The sequence below is a fragment of the Homo sapiens genome, chromosome 4, assembly GCF_000001405.40.
Source record: "Homo sapiens chromosome 4, GRCh38.p14 Primary Assembly".
Taxonomy (NCBI): Eukaryota; Metazoa; Chordata; class Mammalia; order Primates; family Hominidae; genus Homo; species Homo sapiens.
The window spans coordinates 157,569,586-157,586,815 of record NC_000004.12 but is presented as its reverse complement, the minus strand read 5'-3'; the positions used below and the strand labels follow the sequence as shown (position 1 = coordinate 157,586,815).

Here is a 17,230-nt window from a genome sequence, read left to right as displayed (position 1 = left end):
AGAGTATATGATTATATACTGAGAAAAGGCAAGAGAATCAGCTAAAAATCCTCAATACGCAGTAATTCAGTATATACTAGAGTATAACATTAACTTAGAGAAATCAATAATTGTCAAACAAACTAAAAATAATAGAAAATGCATTGGGAAAAAAAAACTCCACAAGGGTAGAAACATAGAATGAGAAACATGCACAGCCATATTAAAAACTCTAAAATTTCCTGAATATAACTATAACAAATGAAAAAATGAAAAAAAATCAGCAATCTTATCCAAGTACATTAATAAATTTATCCTGGTCTCAACAAATATGCTATTTATTAACTACACAAATTAATACCAAATTCCTACAGAATTTTTTTAAAAAATCAAAATTCTTAACACAGAAACAGAAAACCAAACACGACATGTTCTCACTTATAAATTGGAGCTAAACATTATGGACATAAAGATAGGAACAATAAATACTGGGGAATTCCAAAAAGGGAGAAGAAAGGAGGAGGGTAAATGTTGAAAAACTACCTGTGGGGTACTTTGTTCACTACTTGGGCAATAGGACTATCAGAAGCCCAAACCTCAGCATCGTGCGTTATACCCATGTAACAAATCTGCACATGTATACCCTAAATATAAAATGTGTAATAAGAGGCAAAGCCATTGGATAATGATAAATGGTCAATTAAACAGGAAGATACAGCAATTAAAAATATATATGCACCCAACATCAGAGAACCTAAATATATAGAAAGAAAACATTGGCAGATCTGAAGGAAGAAATAGACAGAAATATAATAGTAAGATACTTCAATATCCAACTTTGAATTTTAGAACATCCAAAAATAAAGTGTAATGAGGAAACAGTGTCTCACACAGACCTATAGACCAAACAGCCCTGACAGGCATATATAGAACATTCCAAGCAACAACAGCAGAACATACAGTCTTCTCATGTGTACATAGAACATTCTCCAGTATAGATCACATGTTAGGCCACAAAAACGTCTTAAGAATTTAAGATTAAAATTATACTGATACATTTTACAACCACATGGAATAAAATAGCAGTCAATAATGGAAGTAAACTGGAAAATTCACAAATATATGTAATTAAACAGCTCAGTCTTGAACAACCAATGGGCCAAAGAAAAACCAAATGAAAATTTAGCAAATATCCCATTTCCCAAATGAAAATAAAAGTAGAATATTCCAGAACTTATGGAATGCAGCCAAAGTGATTTTAAGAGGGAAGTATATAGAGAAATGCCTACATTAAAAAAGAATGATCTCAAATGAACAATCTAAATTTCCTTTTCAAGGATCTAGAAAAAAAATAACACTAAGCCCAAAGTTAGCAGAAGGAAGAAGATAATAAAAATTAGAGCATACCTAAACAAAACAGAATAGAACAACAAAAAGATTAGTGAAATAGTTTATTTTTTGAGAAGTTTAACAACATGGATAAACCTTTAGCTAGACTAAAGGGGGAAGAAAGATAAGCTTCAAATAAATGAAATTAGAATAGAAAGAGAATATATAACAACTAATGCCAAAGAAATAAAAAGAATCATATGAGACTTCTATGAACAATTAATTATACAGCGGTACACTGAATAACCTGGAAAAAATGAATACATTCTTAAAAATACAACATACCAAAACTGAATCATGAAGAAATAGAAAATCTTAACACACCAAGAAGCCAAAAGGTAAGTGAATCAGTAATCAAAACTCTCCCAAAAAAGAAAAGCCCAGGAGCAGATGGCTTCAGGGGTGAATTCTATAAAACATTTGAAGAAGAATTAATACTAATTCTTCTTTTTAAATCTTTATTAGTTACAGTTGGTAAATAACAATTATATGTATTTAAAACAAAAATTCTGGCAGAGAAAACCAATAACAGGGACTTTTTAAAACATATTTAATATGCTATATAAATTTAAGTTATAAAAATGTTTAGAGACAGAGTAATACAATATAACAAAATATTCAGAAAGTGACTATAATACTTACGTTAAGTAAATCTGAAGTCGAAAGATTCCCATTTAACAAATGTGTCGAGATCTGGGGGAAAAAGCTGTGTTCATACTTGGACAAAGATGAATTCAAAATGTGGTAATGATTTAAATATAAGAAACCATAAAGTAGAGAAGAAATATGGGAGATTTCCTTCATAAACTCAGAGAGTGGAAATCCTTTATACGTTTGACAAAAATATTCAGAAGCCATAAAAAAGACTGACAAATTTAATGACATAAACACCAGAAACTACTAGATGACAAAAGACAAAAAACACAGTCCAAAGACAAGGACCAAATGGAAAATATCAATAACTAATATCGCATACAAGGACTCCCTAATATATAAAGAAAACCTACAATTAGATAAGAAAGCTGATACTGTTTAGCTCTCTGTCCCCACCCAAATCTCGTCTTGAATTATATGCTATAATTCCCATATGTTGTGGGAGGGACATGGTGGGAGATAATTTGAATCATGGGGGCAGTTTTCCTCATACTCTTCTCATGGTAGTGAATAGGTCTCATGAGATCTGATGGTTTATCAGGGGGTTCCACTTTGAATCTTCTCCATTTTCTCTTACCGATGCCATGTAAGAAGTGTCTTTTGCCTCCTGCCGTGATTCTGAGGCATCCCCAGCCATGTGGAATTGTAAGTCCAATTAAACCTCTTTTTCTTCCCAGTCTCAGGTATGTCATTATCAGCAGCATGAAAATGGACTAATACAACAGCCAATAGAAAAAACAGGCAAAAGATAAGAGACCAATCACAGAAAAGGAAGTGTGCCCTTAAGCACAGAAGAGATGCAAATTCTCACTCATTGTAAGAGAAACACAAATCAAAACTACAATGATATTTCTTTTAATCTATCAGATAGACAAAAACCTAGAAGCTTAATAACTTAGCACCTTAATATTGGTAAAGTTGTGGGCAGAACCAACTGACTGCCCCCTTCCAGGGGACTCATTCATAGCATAGATTTTGCGAATGGCTGTTCACTACATAACTCCAGTTTTGCAATAAGGAGGTCCTCACAATAGGGGCAGCGGAGGGGCTGGCATTCTCATACATTATTGTGACTTTATAATCTCCATAAAATTTAATATGCATACATCTTTGTGACAGCAAATCTTTGAGTTTCTTGTTCATATGCACTACGGCATATGCAAAACAGCTTATGCACAAGTTTTTTTTTTGCAGCATCATTTGTAACATCAAAAAGTTAGTGCTAGTTAAGAGACATATGATGCTTTTGTACAATGAGATAATTGGTCACAAGTAAAGGAATAAAATTCTGTTTCTGTCTTAATAGGAAAAAATGTGCCAGATATGTTAAGTAAAAAACAAAAACAAAACAGATCAAAAAAACAGAAAAATGCATGCAGTATGCTACCCTTTTGTGTAAAAGGAAGGAGAAGACAGAATATATATCTGTACTAGCTTATACACACAGAAAAAAATCGCTGACTGTAAAAACAAACAAACTAGTAAAATAGTTAACGTGTTGGTTGGAGGTGCTAAGCAGATTGTGTGGGAAGGTATCTTAGTTTATGTTGCTATAACAGAATACAATAAACTAAGTGGCTTATTTCTCACAGTTTTGGATGCTGAAAGTCAAAAATCAAGGTGCCAGAAGATTCTGTATTTGGTGAGGGCTTTCTTCCTGTTTTGTAGACAACCATCTTCTCATCGTATCTTCACGTGACGGAGAGAAAGAGAGCTTCACATTATCTTCATAAAAGGGCACTGATCCCATCAGGAGGGTTCCCCTCCATGATCTCATTCAAATCCACTTATTACCCTAAGGCCCCAGCTCCAATCATCACATTGGGAATCAGTATCTCAACATATGAATTAGTTGGGGGACACAAACATTGAATCCATAGCAGAAGGAAAATTTTCACTGTGCACATTTTAATACTTTTTGATGTTTCAAATGTGTGTTTATTACCTATTCATAACTTAAAATACAAGAATTCCCAAGAATAATAGAGACAAGTGGCAGCTCATCAAAAATGAAAACCTGAATGAATAGGTGGCATCTTTAAATTAATCTCTCAAAGAGGAGCAGCACGAATTTACATAAGGTTCAATAAGATATCCTGACCTTTTGTAAACGGATGTTCCTATTGCACTTACTACCTGCTTAGCCACGATTCAAACGAGTTATATTTTGCTGGTAGTCTATTTCTTCTTCAAACATTCGCATTTATCTGAAACCTTGGGATTTCTGTATTTTTATTAATAACAAATTATCCCAAATTCTGTATTTAAATAATGCCATAAATTGAGAGCCAAATATCTGTAATATATGAAAAATTCAACCACAAAGAAAATGCAAATGATGACAGGATTATAAAACAAAACATTCCTTCAGAAAGCAGCATCCTGAATATAATGGGCTGTTGTGTTCCGTATGGGCTGGAAGCCCCAGATGGCCAAGCATTCTGGAGAGGGTAGGAGGTGATGAAAAGTAGGAGGTGACAGAATGTGGTATTTTAGGGGATTTGAACTGAGGGAAAGCACTGAATCATTTGGCTGTGGTATTCATTATGCGTATGAGTGTAAGTGTAAGTAATCTCTATCTGCCATGAATACAGAAAGGAGAGAGACAGAGGGAGTAGTTAGGTATAGTCATAGGGATTTCCCTTGCTTCTAAAATGGGGAAAGATTGAAATAAGTACCTCATACAAACGCGAAAGTTCACAGTAGAAAAAATAAAGATTTTTATGCCTGTAATCCCAGCACTTCGGGAGGCCAAGGCGGGTGGATCACGAGGTCAGGAGATCGAGAACATCCTGGCTAACACGGTGAAACCCTGTCTCTACTAAAAACACAAAAAATTAGCCGGGCGTGGTGGCGGGCGCCTGTAGTCCCAGCTACTCGGGAGGTTGAGGCAGGAGAATGGCGTGAACCCGGGAGGCGGAGATTGCAGTGAGCCGAGATAGCGCCACTGCAGTCCGGTCTGGGCGAAAGAGCAAGACTCCGTCTCAAAAAAAGAAAAAAAAAAAAAAAAAGGAAAGAAAGAAAGAAAAAATAAAGATTTTTGGAGTAAGTGACTAAGTGACTCCGGAAGAAATATCTGAGCTGGGAGATGACATGTGCTAATTAAATCATCTCTGAAAAACGTATTGAAATCTCGTTTATCTAATACTCAAGCAAGAGTATTGAGTTTATAAATGCAATCATCTAGATAAGTCAGCAACTTCTCAAATATTTGGAAATTATCTTCTTCATAGTCGTAGCCTCTAAAGTCATGGAGACTGAGACTGTTGCCAGCAAAATCTTGGTGACTTTTGGCTTCATATATAAATATAAATGTAAATAAAATTATATGTAATTGTATATAAAAGCCTGCTAATATATAAATATATAATCTTGCTCTTTTATAATCTTCAGGAAATTCTATTAAACAATGAAAAATGAAATTTTTATAAACTGTTTCTCACTGAGACTATTTTGTAGAGTGTTGAGTCAATAGGACAGGAGGAAAACAAATCTGCAAACCCATGATTCCACACAACCATTCACCAATGTTGACTGCAGACTAGAGGTTCACAATCTGTGACCTTACAGACTGTGAGGTCATCATTTCTTCTGCCAAAAAAAAAAATGCACATGACCCTGCTGATTGACCTACATTTAAAATGTACGGCTGCTAATCTCCAGGGGTCCTAGAGTGCCACATTCAATGTTATTATATTTGCCTAGTTTTCAGACACTCTCTCCCACAGTTTTTGCCCTTAATTAGCTCATTCTCATCTCTATTCAGGCATGCTATATCTCCATCTTAAATATCATCCCATAACCATAGAATGCTCCAGGCATTGCCTAATTTTATTTTCTCTTTACAATGAAATACCTTGAAAGAGTTATCAGTGTTTCCTATTTTATTATGTATTTTTTCTGTTCTCTAGCCAAAGGCCATAAGACTTACCATCCATGGATACTTCTCTTATCCAAGTCATCTGTTATTCTATTGCCACATCCAATGGTCATTTTCAATCTCTTCACTCTATATGTCAAGCAGCGTTTAACAGAGTGTATTACATTTAATTTTTTAAATCTTGTATTTATATATCCTTTAGCATATTACTCTTTTTTAACTTTTATTCTATTATTGGCTTCATCTTCTTGTTTTATTTTGCTAGATCCTCTCCATCCTCCTCAACTTTTCTATATTTCAGAGAAGCCCAGGGCTCAGTGTTGAATCTCTCTTCTAGCTAAACTCTTTCTATACAGTTTTTTGTGTCCATGGCTTTCCATTTCATCTATTTCTGAAGACTCAAATCTATTGTCTGAATTTCTACCAAAAACTTGGAATTTTGAAGTAATCCTGCATACATTTCAAAGTTCAGTGAAGGTTCCATTAGCATATGAGCAGCAGATCTAAAATGTGTTTGACTTATTGGTTCAGGTTTAATCCTAAGATATTAACTCGTATTTTGCCTTTCTTTATTTCTCCCAGTTTGAGCTCCTCACACCCTGGAGCTCATCTCACTTTTTGCTTTGCTTCCAATTGTTTTCCCATTTTATCTTTCCTTTATACTTGTAGATTTTTTCCTCTGTGTTGATAGTACCAACCACATCGTAGGAGATTGAAATAAATTACATTTTCTGATTGGATAGTTAGTCTCTCATAGTATATCAGACAGATTAAGTTATAGAAAATGTCTGAAGTTTTAAAACCTACATGAAATATCCTTGCCAAAGACCTTAAACTAGCTATTAAGTTTGGCCAGAAGTCTTGTTTCTGAGCTCTTGGCACACTGGCAAAACACATGCATGGTTTTTAAAAAAAAATCACTATCATCAAAAAGAACTGCTATGTTTCTGATGGTAACAAGTGTAAAAACATAGCAATCACCCTATTATCTGGGTGATAAGTAGTCTACAGAATAAAGGCGCATTCTATGCCAGATTCCTGGCTTTGATTGATACGTTTAATACTCTTTCAACATTTGCAAGTAGGAAATTAAATTCCTTTTATTCATTTCTAAGTCCTTCCTGGATTTTCTTCTCTTTCCTTTTTCTTTGTTTGGTGGCAATGTAGGCAGAAATTAAGATCTTGTTGATGATGCTATGGGGTCTTTTGATTCCGCTATAGTGCAGCAGGGGTTTATAACTGTACCTCCCACTGGCAAAATATCAAAACAGTTACACAAATGCATCTTTTACTTTTAACAGATGAGTGTCTTGTGGTGGGCCAATCAAAATATAGCTACAAAGTATTTCAATTATCTTCTTGCAGATAAGTTTATTTTAGAAAAAAAAAGGTGGCATAATCATTTTCAAAGAGCACAGATTGTGAGGTCATTATTTCTTCTGCCAAACAAATGAATCATTTTGGGCATCTTCACCTCCCACATTTTCCATGTTACAGCTAAAGAAAGCAAGAACTTCCTGAAAAAGAAATAATTTTTACAGAGGCAACTTTTCAAATACTCTAAACGAATTATCTTCGTACTCTACACTGGGTGGTTATACCACCTGAATAATGTATCACATTTGAGCCCAAGTCAAATGTAATTTGAAAAAATACTGAACCTTTACAACACAGAGAGCGTATATACCAGGTTAGTGTTGCTGCTTTATGTCAATTGCCAACTGTTCTACAGGAACACCTATTAAATAATATTTCATCTTAAACAATTTTATGGCAGAGAGCGGAAAAGAAGTTTTGCCACAAAATCTATCCCATTGATTTGCTGAAAGGAGAATCTAATTTAAGCACAATAATGCATTTACAGGCATAACACCCTTTTGCTAAAATCTGTCTAAAATAACGGTGCTAAGCAATATACTAGTTAGACCTGAACTAGTTGTGCTATGACAAGCAACTAGCTTAATTGTATTTAAGTTGTGCTATGACAAGCAAGTAGCTCAACTGGGAGCAGTGTGTGACTGGCAAAAAAGAAAATATGTACCACACAAGCATTACTAGGAATAGGCTGATTAGGAATTCATTGTGAGGGAATACATAAGGTAGGAAAGAGGTCTTTGGTTTATCAGCTACATTAAAGAATTAATGCTTTTCTAGTCTCACAGAGTTCCTCATTTTCTTTAGAAGTCTTTAGACATTATCTTAAATGCTACAATCCATTAGATTACTTTATGAAAATATGTACTTCTTGCTTGTTCTCCCAAGTATACCGAAGGTAGCTTGGGCACAGCCCTTTGCACCATTATGCACTGATCTTTCTGTCTTCAAGTGCTTCTTGAAGAAATGTACTACGTTTCCTTCTCTTGATAATGCCACAGTGCCTGGCAAGGTGCCTTACTGGAGGTGTGGATTAAATATATTTTAACTTTATTAGAGTCCATTTAAAAGATAAATATTTGTTCATGTCAATCAGCTTTAAAGTTCTCAAAACAAATTCTATATTTTTATGATAAATATTTTAAATTCCTCATGGAATCCTTACATAAGTTTATTAATTATTAGAAGTATGTTTAATAGGTAAAACATATATTTTTCATGTTTTATGATGTTAAAAACACAATAAGACACTAACAATAATTAGGACTATATAAAATGTTAAATAAAAATACATCTTTATAGGTTTTTTTTCCTATTTGCAAAACTTTTTATGTGAATTAGCCCTCTTGTTAATGAAGAGGTTCTTGAGATAGCTATAAAAACATAGGTATAGTATATGAAGAATTTGAGATTCCAAGGGGTTGGAGATGGCTTTCCAAAATCAGCTGGTACATCCAAATAGGGTGAATAGTTTATAGAAAATAAATTCTCCCTAACCACCCACATGGGCCCATCAAACTGAAGACTGTGGCCAACACTGTGAAGTCAGCAGTGCCTCATCAATTCTCCCAGGGTCAAGACCCAAAAGAAGCTATTGGCACAATCTGGGCCTTGGATCTTGGATTCAAAATTTCTGGTCAAGGGACATAAATAAGCAATCTTAGAAAACAAATTGACTGCCATTTTAGTCACTTGTTTCAAAAGGAAAATAATTCAGAACCTGGTTAGATTTTGAAACTCAAAGCATAAGCAAGATATACATCATAGCATCACACTCACTGCCTGTTCCCTGTTTTTCATTCCTTTCCTCAAACATATATTTGTCCAAAGCTTGTCTAAAGCAATGAACTGCAGATTCATTCATCATTGCTTTATTTTCTCCTAATATCCATGCAAAGAGAGTGTAGGACTGGAATTCTGGAGACCTGTTTCTTTGGTTAGTTTCTTGCCTCTTTTATTAGTTAGTTCTGTTACTTTGGCAGTTCACTTCATTTTCTCTCTGATAAATCCACTCTTTTTACATGTAAAATTAGTGATCTGAAATAGATAAGTCTCTCTAATTTCTCCAATGTCTCTGAATCTGTAAGAAAAGTTAAGAATATATAATAAATCATTTTCAAAATGTAAGAAAAAGTTATAGTAAACGATTCAAGTCATGACACTAAGTAATGTCTAATTCTGGGCTTTGCTAAAGTGTCAATTTGAAGAGAAAATGTGTGTATCCAATTTTAGCTGCCTAATGTAATTTGAGTAAAATGACAGAGCCACTGATTCAATACCATTACCAAATTAGTTTGTCTGTAACCTCCAGCATTGCACTCCGTTAAATTACACACTTATTAACAATACATTTGAAGAGATATTTGTAGAAAGAATCTTCGTACAAGTTAGTTACAAGCCACAATTTTAGCCTTAGAGTCCAAAATCCCTTACAGTACATGCTAAGCCTTAACCAGACAACAGTATTATTCTGACACATGTACAGATAGCACATTGCTATCCTTGCCCTGGCCACTCCTTGATCTGCTGGCTGTGCTCTGTGCTATTTCCCTCTAAAGTGGCCTTTCAAGCAGCAACTCAGATTACACCCACCATGCAGGAAGCACTGCAACTAGAAGTGATTTTTTTCCTTTCACCCAGCCAGCCACCCACCCACCTCGTTCACTCCCACCTTCCACCCCACCAGGTTCTAATTGTGTCTATCCTCTTTTGACTCGAGTGTTTGAAGTCACCTCTACCCACGTGAACTCCATGCTGGTCTACAGTGGTGTAGCTAAGGGTTTGTTTCTTAAGGATTTGCCTCTAGGATTACTACTCTCTTTCCCTTGCTAGTTCCCAGATTCTTTGGACTCCAACCATACCTTCCACTAGTTCTGAACTCTTGATTATGTGACCTCAGATATGATGCCTCTTATCCTCAGCAATTCATATTTTTACCTGCTGTCGCCAATATTCAAATGTTAGGGTTTTTTATTATTTCTGTTGACTTTTGTAGAATTCACCCAGACATTTTTTTCTTTTGCATTTCTGCCTGATTTCTTCGTACATTAGTTATGTTTCATGGCATGAAATCATTATTTGCATACTTACTATAAAATCTTACAGTAAAAACACTTTATCTTTCCTTTCATATCTCTATGGGCCTGCATTTATATATGCAAACATGTATTTGTATTTGGGACATTAATAGCAAAATATGTTATCATATAATTTATACAGTAACATAGCTACTGGTAATATGGTCTGAAAAATGCCATCGGCTTTTGCTTTTTTCTTTGCCAGTGCTCTGATACTCACATTGCTAATATTTCTGTTGAAGGTTTTATTTAAAAACCTGAGGTAAACCTCTTTAGTGTTAAAGAATAATAAAATAATTACCAAGATATTTTTATTTTTAACAACCTAGAGTAGATGCTTTGATTACTACATGAACTTTTTATTTTTTGTTTTACCTCAAATTACCCTTAATATTAGCATTTAGTAATTAAAAAATCCATCACACTAGTGTAACATAGAACTTTTTTTTCTCTTGAGTTGAAATTCGAGTATTAAAAACATGCATGTTCTTAGCTTAAATATAATGCCAGGTTACATTTATAATGTGTAAAGAAGCAATTGTTTTCTAACTACAGCCTAATAAATCGGTACATTGTGATACCTGCTACAGGCAGTAAAGCAGTAGTAATAAATACAAGAATCATTAAATAAACTTTCATTATGCCTCACCGTTCAAGGGTATCATTTTTTCCCTCGGGTTCAGTTTTTAAGAAGAGTGTATGATAATGTCATGGGATTCTCAGGGTGTCACTTCACCAGCTGGAAACCTATGTGGCCAGTGGTGCCTTTGCCTGAGTTTTGCTTGGGCCCACAGGTCTCATTCCACCCACTCGGCCTGGCAGGCTGCAATCGGCTGGGGCTGGATCCCTGAATCCCATACCTGCCAAGGGCGGGCCAGGTGCGGAGTGGCGAAGGGTGCATGAGTGAGCATGAGGTCTGGCCACTGTGCATGGCCAGGCAAGCTGGCTGTGGTGGGGCGGGGAGCTATAGGCACCAGCATGGGAGCCAGCTCCCTGCAAGGCTGTGGCTGGACCAAATGTACCACAGCAGCTTCCACGGCTGGCACTGAGGAATGCAGTGGCATCCGGAAGCTTGGAGACACCAGGAACCATAGAGCCCCAAAGAGGGTGTCATAGCCCTGGCTCAGGGATCTCCTAGGCCTGGGCTCCCAGAAGGGCTGCAGCTCTTCTCTCCTTCTCTTGTCTCTCCTTCTTGTCACCTACAATATGGCGAGCAAGGGATGTGTTTCAGCCCTGTTTGTGTTACAGCCCTTTTGCAGGTCCCGAGTTCTTGTCCTGTGTCCAGGAAGAATGAGGTAGACGGACAAGTGGAGGGTGAGCAAGGCAAAGAGGAGTTTTATTGAGCAATGGAACAGCTCAGAGGAGACCTGCATTGGGTAACTCCTCCCTGCAGGCAGGGTGTCTTGATGAGTGTTCAGCTCTCAGCAGAGACCTTGGAGTGGGTAGCTCCTTTCCGCAGCTTGTAGTCCCATCATCTCCTTGAGTCAGATTGAGTCCAGGGCTTCTATGGGCCTCAGAGGGAAGGAAGCACATGCCAATTGGTCCATGGGCAGCCATGGGCGGGCCTGGAAAAAGCACCATAAGCTTCCACTCTGGTCGTGCAATCCGCAGCCTGAACCCCAGGCTTCAGGCCCTCCCAGCCTGAAGGTGGGGCTTCACTGAGGACCCGCCCACTTCTGCCTAGGCGCCTGTCTGCCTCCTCCCACCCTTCATGGTACCCAGGCTGTTCATGTCACGGGGTGCCTGCAGGCCAGCACCGAGTTGCCCTCATCTCCCCCTCAGCTTCCCTCCCATGCTTGTCAGTGCCCAAAGTCTGGATGGGGGCAAGCAGCAAGGGGCTGCTGGCATGTCAGCCCTGCCCCAAGCATGCACATACCCAGCCGGGTGGTGACAGTGCCTGAGCTCTGTCCCAACCTTGCTCCGAGATCAGAGTGGACTCTGGGAGTAGGGAGAGGTCAGCAGCGAGTGCAGACACCTCCGAGCCTGCGGGGGCAAGGGACCTTCTTGGGCCCCCAAGAATGCAGAGATGCCCAGGTCCCCAGCCAGGGCTTGGGTGGCTGCAGCTGTGCCCAGGAAGGTGGCGCTCCTGCCTGCTGCCAGCCCTAAAGAGCACAGGGATGCCTGAGTTTGCAGCTGCAGCTGCACCTGGGGAGCTCAAAGTTCCCACCCTGCTGACTCAGAAGGGAGTGGGTCTCCCACTAGCTCTGTGGAGTGGGCAGCCAGCCCCAGAGGTGTCTTCCCCATTGCAGCTGGCATCATGTCAGTGGCCTCTCTAGATGGGCCGCTACTGTCAGCAATACTTAAGTAAGGTAGACAGCTGTCAGTCTGACAGTTTATCCAAATAAAAATTAAAAGCTAAATATTTACTGATGTACAATGATATTGAAAATAAATTGACTGCTCTATATAACTGTTGCAATATTTGTTTAAATATTTAACTGTCAACTAATTATAATTTAAAAATATATAACCTAAATGTGAAATAACCCAAGGTTTTGGCATCTAATTCTATTTCCTATTTATTTAACCTTGTTCTATAATCTATGTTCTATTTTTTATTGAAAATTTCTGGTAATTTATTGGTTCAAGGGAATGATTTTCTATAGCTTTTTTTTTAATCATCAGGATCAATTCAAACATGACATTTATATTATTTAGGAAATTTATTTATTTATTTATTTTGGCATCAGACACTCCTAGGTTCTAGTATTGGGTTTGCCACTTATTTGTCATGTAACCTCAGGCATGTGCCTAAACTTCTCAAAGCTATATTTCCCTCCTTTATGAATAATGGATAATACCAAAAAAGCAGTTTCATTCTATAGGTGATATTATTTTCAAAATAAGCTATGCAATGCACTTAATATAGCATCTGACTCAATGGAAGTACGCAAAAGGCATGACTAGTGTTTCGGTTTTTGTTGTTTAGTTGTCACAGACATCTAATTTTTTATTTGTTCCTCAGTTTATTTGTATGCTATTTGCAGGCATGCTCCTTTCAGAAGATTTCAAGAAAAAAGAATGATTTTTATCTTGCTTAGTGCTCTTGTCAGGGGAGAAGCAAGAACATTCAATGAAGGTTTTTAAAAAATACACTACCTAGGAGTTAATAGTAAAAGATCTCTCTCTCCTAATAGTGTAAACCTGGCAATCCTATTATACCACAAGAACTCACTTATATCTGATAATTTAAATGACTTTTCAAGTTCCCACTTCGCTGTTTCATTTCATTGTTTTGCCATTTCATTGTTTCCTAATAAAGACCTTCCCTAGACCTGTTATTTGCTCAATGAACAAATCACAAAAGTATGTGTAAGTAATAAGGAACACAGAACCGAAACTAGCCTCAGCAGATATTTTGATTATCTTAACTGAATAAGGAAGACTGCAAACATAATTTAGTTACATTTGTATAATATGTATACATAACTTATCAGGAAAGCAAAGCACAATTCAATACTTAGTTCGAAAATTTCATAATGTTTTCTGTTAGTGATCTTATTTCTATTACAAGTTGTTCAAAGGATAGTTTAAGTAATTTTAATAAATCTTATTTTTACCCTAAATGTGAATCTATTCAAAATTACTCAAATAATATATGTTGCATGCTTGTTCTTAGAAAAAGAATCAAACACTATAGAAAATACAATACAAACCCACTTCTACACCAAATCCCTTTCCTCATCCCCCACCCTCATACACATAGGTCCCATAATGGCCTTTTAAGAAATGCTTACGAATGTCATTTGTGTCATCTATCTCTGCTATTGCTGGAGCGTAGAATTCTCACTTTGAAGAAATGAGAAGGATGTAAGAACTATGAAAAAAACTTTAGGGGAGATGAAATGGTAAAAGAAGCAGCAACAGAACACAAGCAGTTTATATACATTAATCAACTGATTCCTTACGACAGCTCCATGAGGCACATGTTATTCTCAGGTTTCATTACAGTGAAGTACAGCTTAGGCTAAGAGATATCCTCAAGGTTATGTTATCAGCAAAAGGCAGACCTGGAATTCAACCAAATTCTATTTTTTCCAGTACTTCAAATGTAGCAGTTACATCATGCTACCTCTCAATGGCTTTTTCTTTGGGATCTTAAATATTTTTTTTGAAATGGGAAGTTTTTCTAGACACGTGCATGAACATGCACATGCATACACATATATACATGCATGCATATGAATCTTAGGGCGTACAATAAACAGAATAGCATTTTTGCAAGGATTTAGATGAATAATATGAATAATCATAACTTTTGAGTTCATTTATTACAACAACTGAAGATACCAGAGGGAAATTATCTTTTTTAATACATTTATATTTTCAGAGCAGTTTATGTTCAGAGGAAATTGAGTCAAAGATACAGATTCCCCTGCACCAGCTGCCCTCACACACGCATAGTCTCTTCCATTATCAACATCCACACCAATGACATTTTATATGGTGAAATTCTACTTAGATAATAAATGAGATAAATATCATCTCATACTTATGAATATTTTGACCACAGGTGGGTCAGTTGACTAGAGGACATTATTGTTTGATGGGTATAGGCAATATATTCCAAAATTCCCACTATTCCAGTGATTTGGCATTTCAGAGCTTTGGGTATTGCCATCTCGGTAAACTCTGAATTGTAGCTGACTGGTAAATACCACTGGACACTCTCTAAACATAACCAAAACAAAAAAATCAACCTAACTATAGAATTTTCTAGACACAATCTGACCATTTACATTCAGAGTCTCCCTCCGGTCAGTCTTTTCTGGTTCTGCATAACCCCCTACAGCTGTGGATACCAGCACTCAGGCCATTCCTTGGCACTCTCTTGACAGAGGCACGTTTCTCATTGAAAGGTGGTAGTTAACCTTTCAGAGATGGAAATAGGATCTTTTTTCCTGAATTGGAGCCTGCAGCACATAGGTAAGAAGGGAGAATCTTGTCCATTGCAAAGGTAGAGAGCCAGAGCCCTTTTCCTGTATATCATGTTCAAATCTATTGACAAACAGAATATATCATTTGATTTATTTCTCTGTATGCTTCTAAATGACATAGTCATTTATCAGCTATGAAGTCTAGCCAGTCAGTTCTAATAATGTTCCAAATTTTGTAAAAAAGCAATACTTCTAAAAATTACCAGAAAACAAGACATGCATGAATATTTAGGATAGATGACATAAGACACATATACTTTCTTTAACTTAATCAAAGATATTTCTTCCACCTAATGTATACATTAATGATTTCTGCAGGCAGAAGGAACAGGATGGGGAAAAAAGAGGATATGAAAAAGGATCTTTCAGGGAAATTTTAAATATATTATGAATTTAAAATATAACTATAACTTATCTAAAATATACACATTTATGATTTTGTCCTGTATAGTTATTGGATTTATTAGAAACTCCAAATAATTTATATTATAATAAATAAAATTAAATTGAATACTAAAACACTTAAAAACACAACTGTCTATGTGATTAATTAAAAAACTCTGATTTACTGTCATCATTGTTTTTATTTCAGTCATTTGTTGCTGACAGAAAAGAGTTCTTACATTAAGTGTGTTATAGATAGTCCTCTTTTTTTCGCTAGAGTCCAATGAATGTTATAGATATTTCTGATGCCTAGTTACACTTATACAAATTATTAAATAAAAACATTTCAGTCTTAGTTGATAAAATGCTCAAAGTTCAAAATATAACATGTGCTTTCCCATAATTAATATACAAGAGGAAGACTTCTCTTTCTCTTGTGAAATATTTAGTGGATTATTTCTTATTCACTTTTTTCTTTGCAAAGCCTACCATCTTTCATTTGGATAAGGTCTTATGGAAATGTCTGGAAGGAGCAAATGCATAACATACCAAATCAAGTCCTTCAGGCAATACATAATTCATATCAAAAAGCAAAGCTTTATTTTTAAAATGCAGAGATTTGTTAGTTTGAAATGGTATTTTTCTTTTCAGTTCAGTGAACCTAAGAATTAGTCCTAAAACAGTTTAGCACCTTTCTCATCTGTTTCTAATTACAGAGCTCTTTTACTATAAGTTATAGTGAATTGATATTTGGCTCATGCATATATAATCGCTGGAGTGTGTATGCCTTCTCTCTTATCTAGCACATGCTTTCCACACCGGAATATATGAACAGGTACTCTTTAAAATAATAATAAATACATATATGTACTATGGGAGCAGCTCACTTCTCTTTTATTTCATTTCTCCATCTGCCAACATTTATTAAACATAACATTTTGGGAAATAAACCAAACAATAACCTCCAGATAGGCTTTAGTTCTCCACCTGTTTAATCATTTTTTTATTCTGGGATTTTTTGACAAGTTCCAAATAATTAACTAATAGTCACTGGCACATATTCCTTCTCTTCACCATTAGGATCACGGGAACATGCAAAAGATACAGAACATATATTTGCCTTCTTATTTAGTTGGGTAGACCACTTTTATTTTTGGCTCACATTTTAAGCAAATTTTACCAGGCCATTTGCTAATTTCACTTTTCAGATGAGCCTTACCTGACCATTCTATTTCAAGTTGCCACTCTTCCATTCCATTTCCTGTACCTTGCTCTTTTGCTTTTTGCCTTACAGCTTAGTGGCATCCTAGCATCCCTTTTGAGTAAGGAAGTAAGGATCCACATTTAGTACATTGATATATCCCAAGACCCTAGAACAGTGCCTAGCATATAGCTTACTGTTACTAAATATTTGCTAAATGAACGAATTTTCATTTTGTTGGTGAGGAAACTGAGGCGTAGAGGGATTATCTAGTTCACCCAAGCTTGTACAGCTAGGAAGATGCTGACTGGCTCTAAAGTCTCAGCTGCTCCATCACACTTCCTGCACTCAGGGG

At 36.3% G+C, this 17,230-nt stretch overlaps 1 long non-coding RNA gene across 1 annotated transcript; it reads right to left on the bottom strand.

Annotated features, from left to right (window-relative positions):
• Positions 1-10,661: 10,661 nt before the first annotated feature.
• Positions 10,662-14,326, bottom strand: LINC02433 (long intergenic non-protein coding RNA 2433). The gene is made up of 3 exons (NR_026992.1): positions 14,241-14,326; positions 14,091-14,142; positions 10,662-11,918 (listed from the first exon to the last, which is right to left on the bottom strand). It is a non-coding gene; the product is annotated as a long intergenic non-protein coding RNA 2433 (long non-coding RNA).
• Between the last annotated feature and the right edge of the window lie 2,904 nt (positions 14,327-17,230).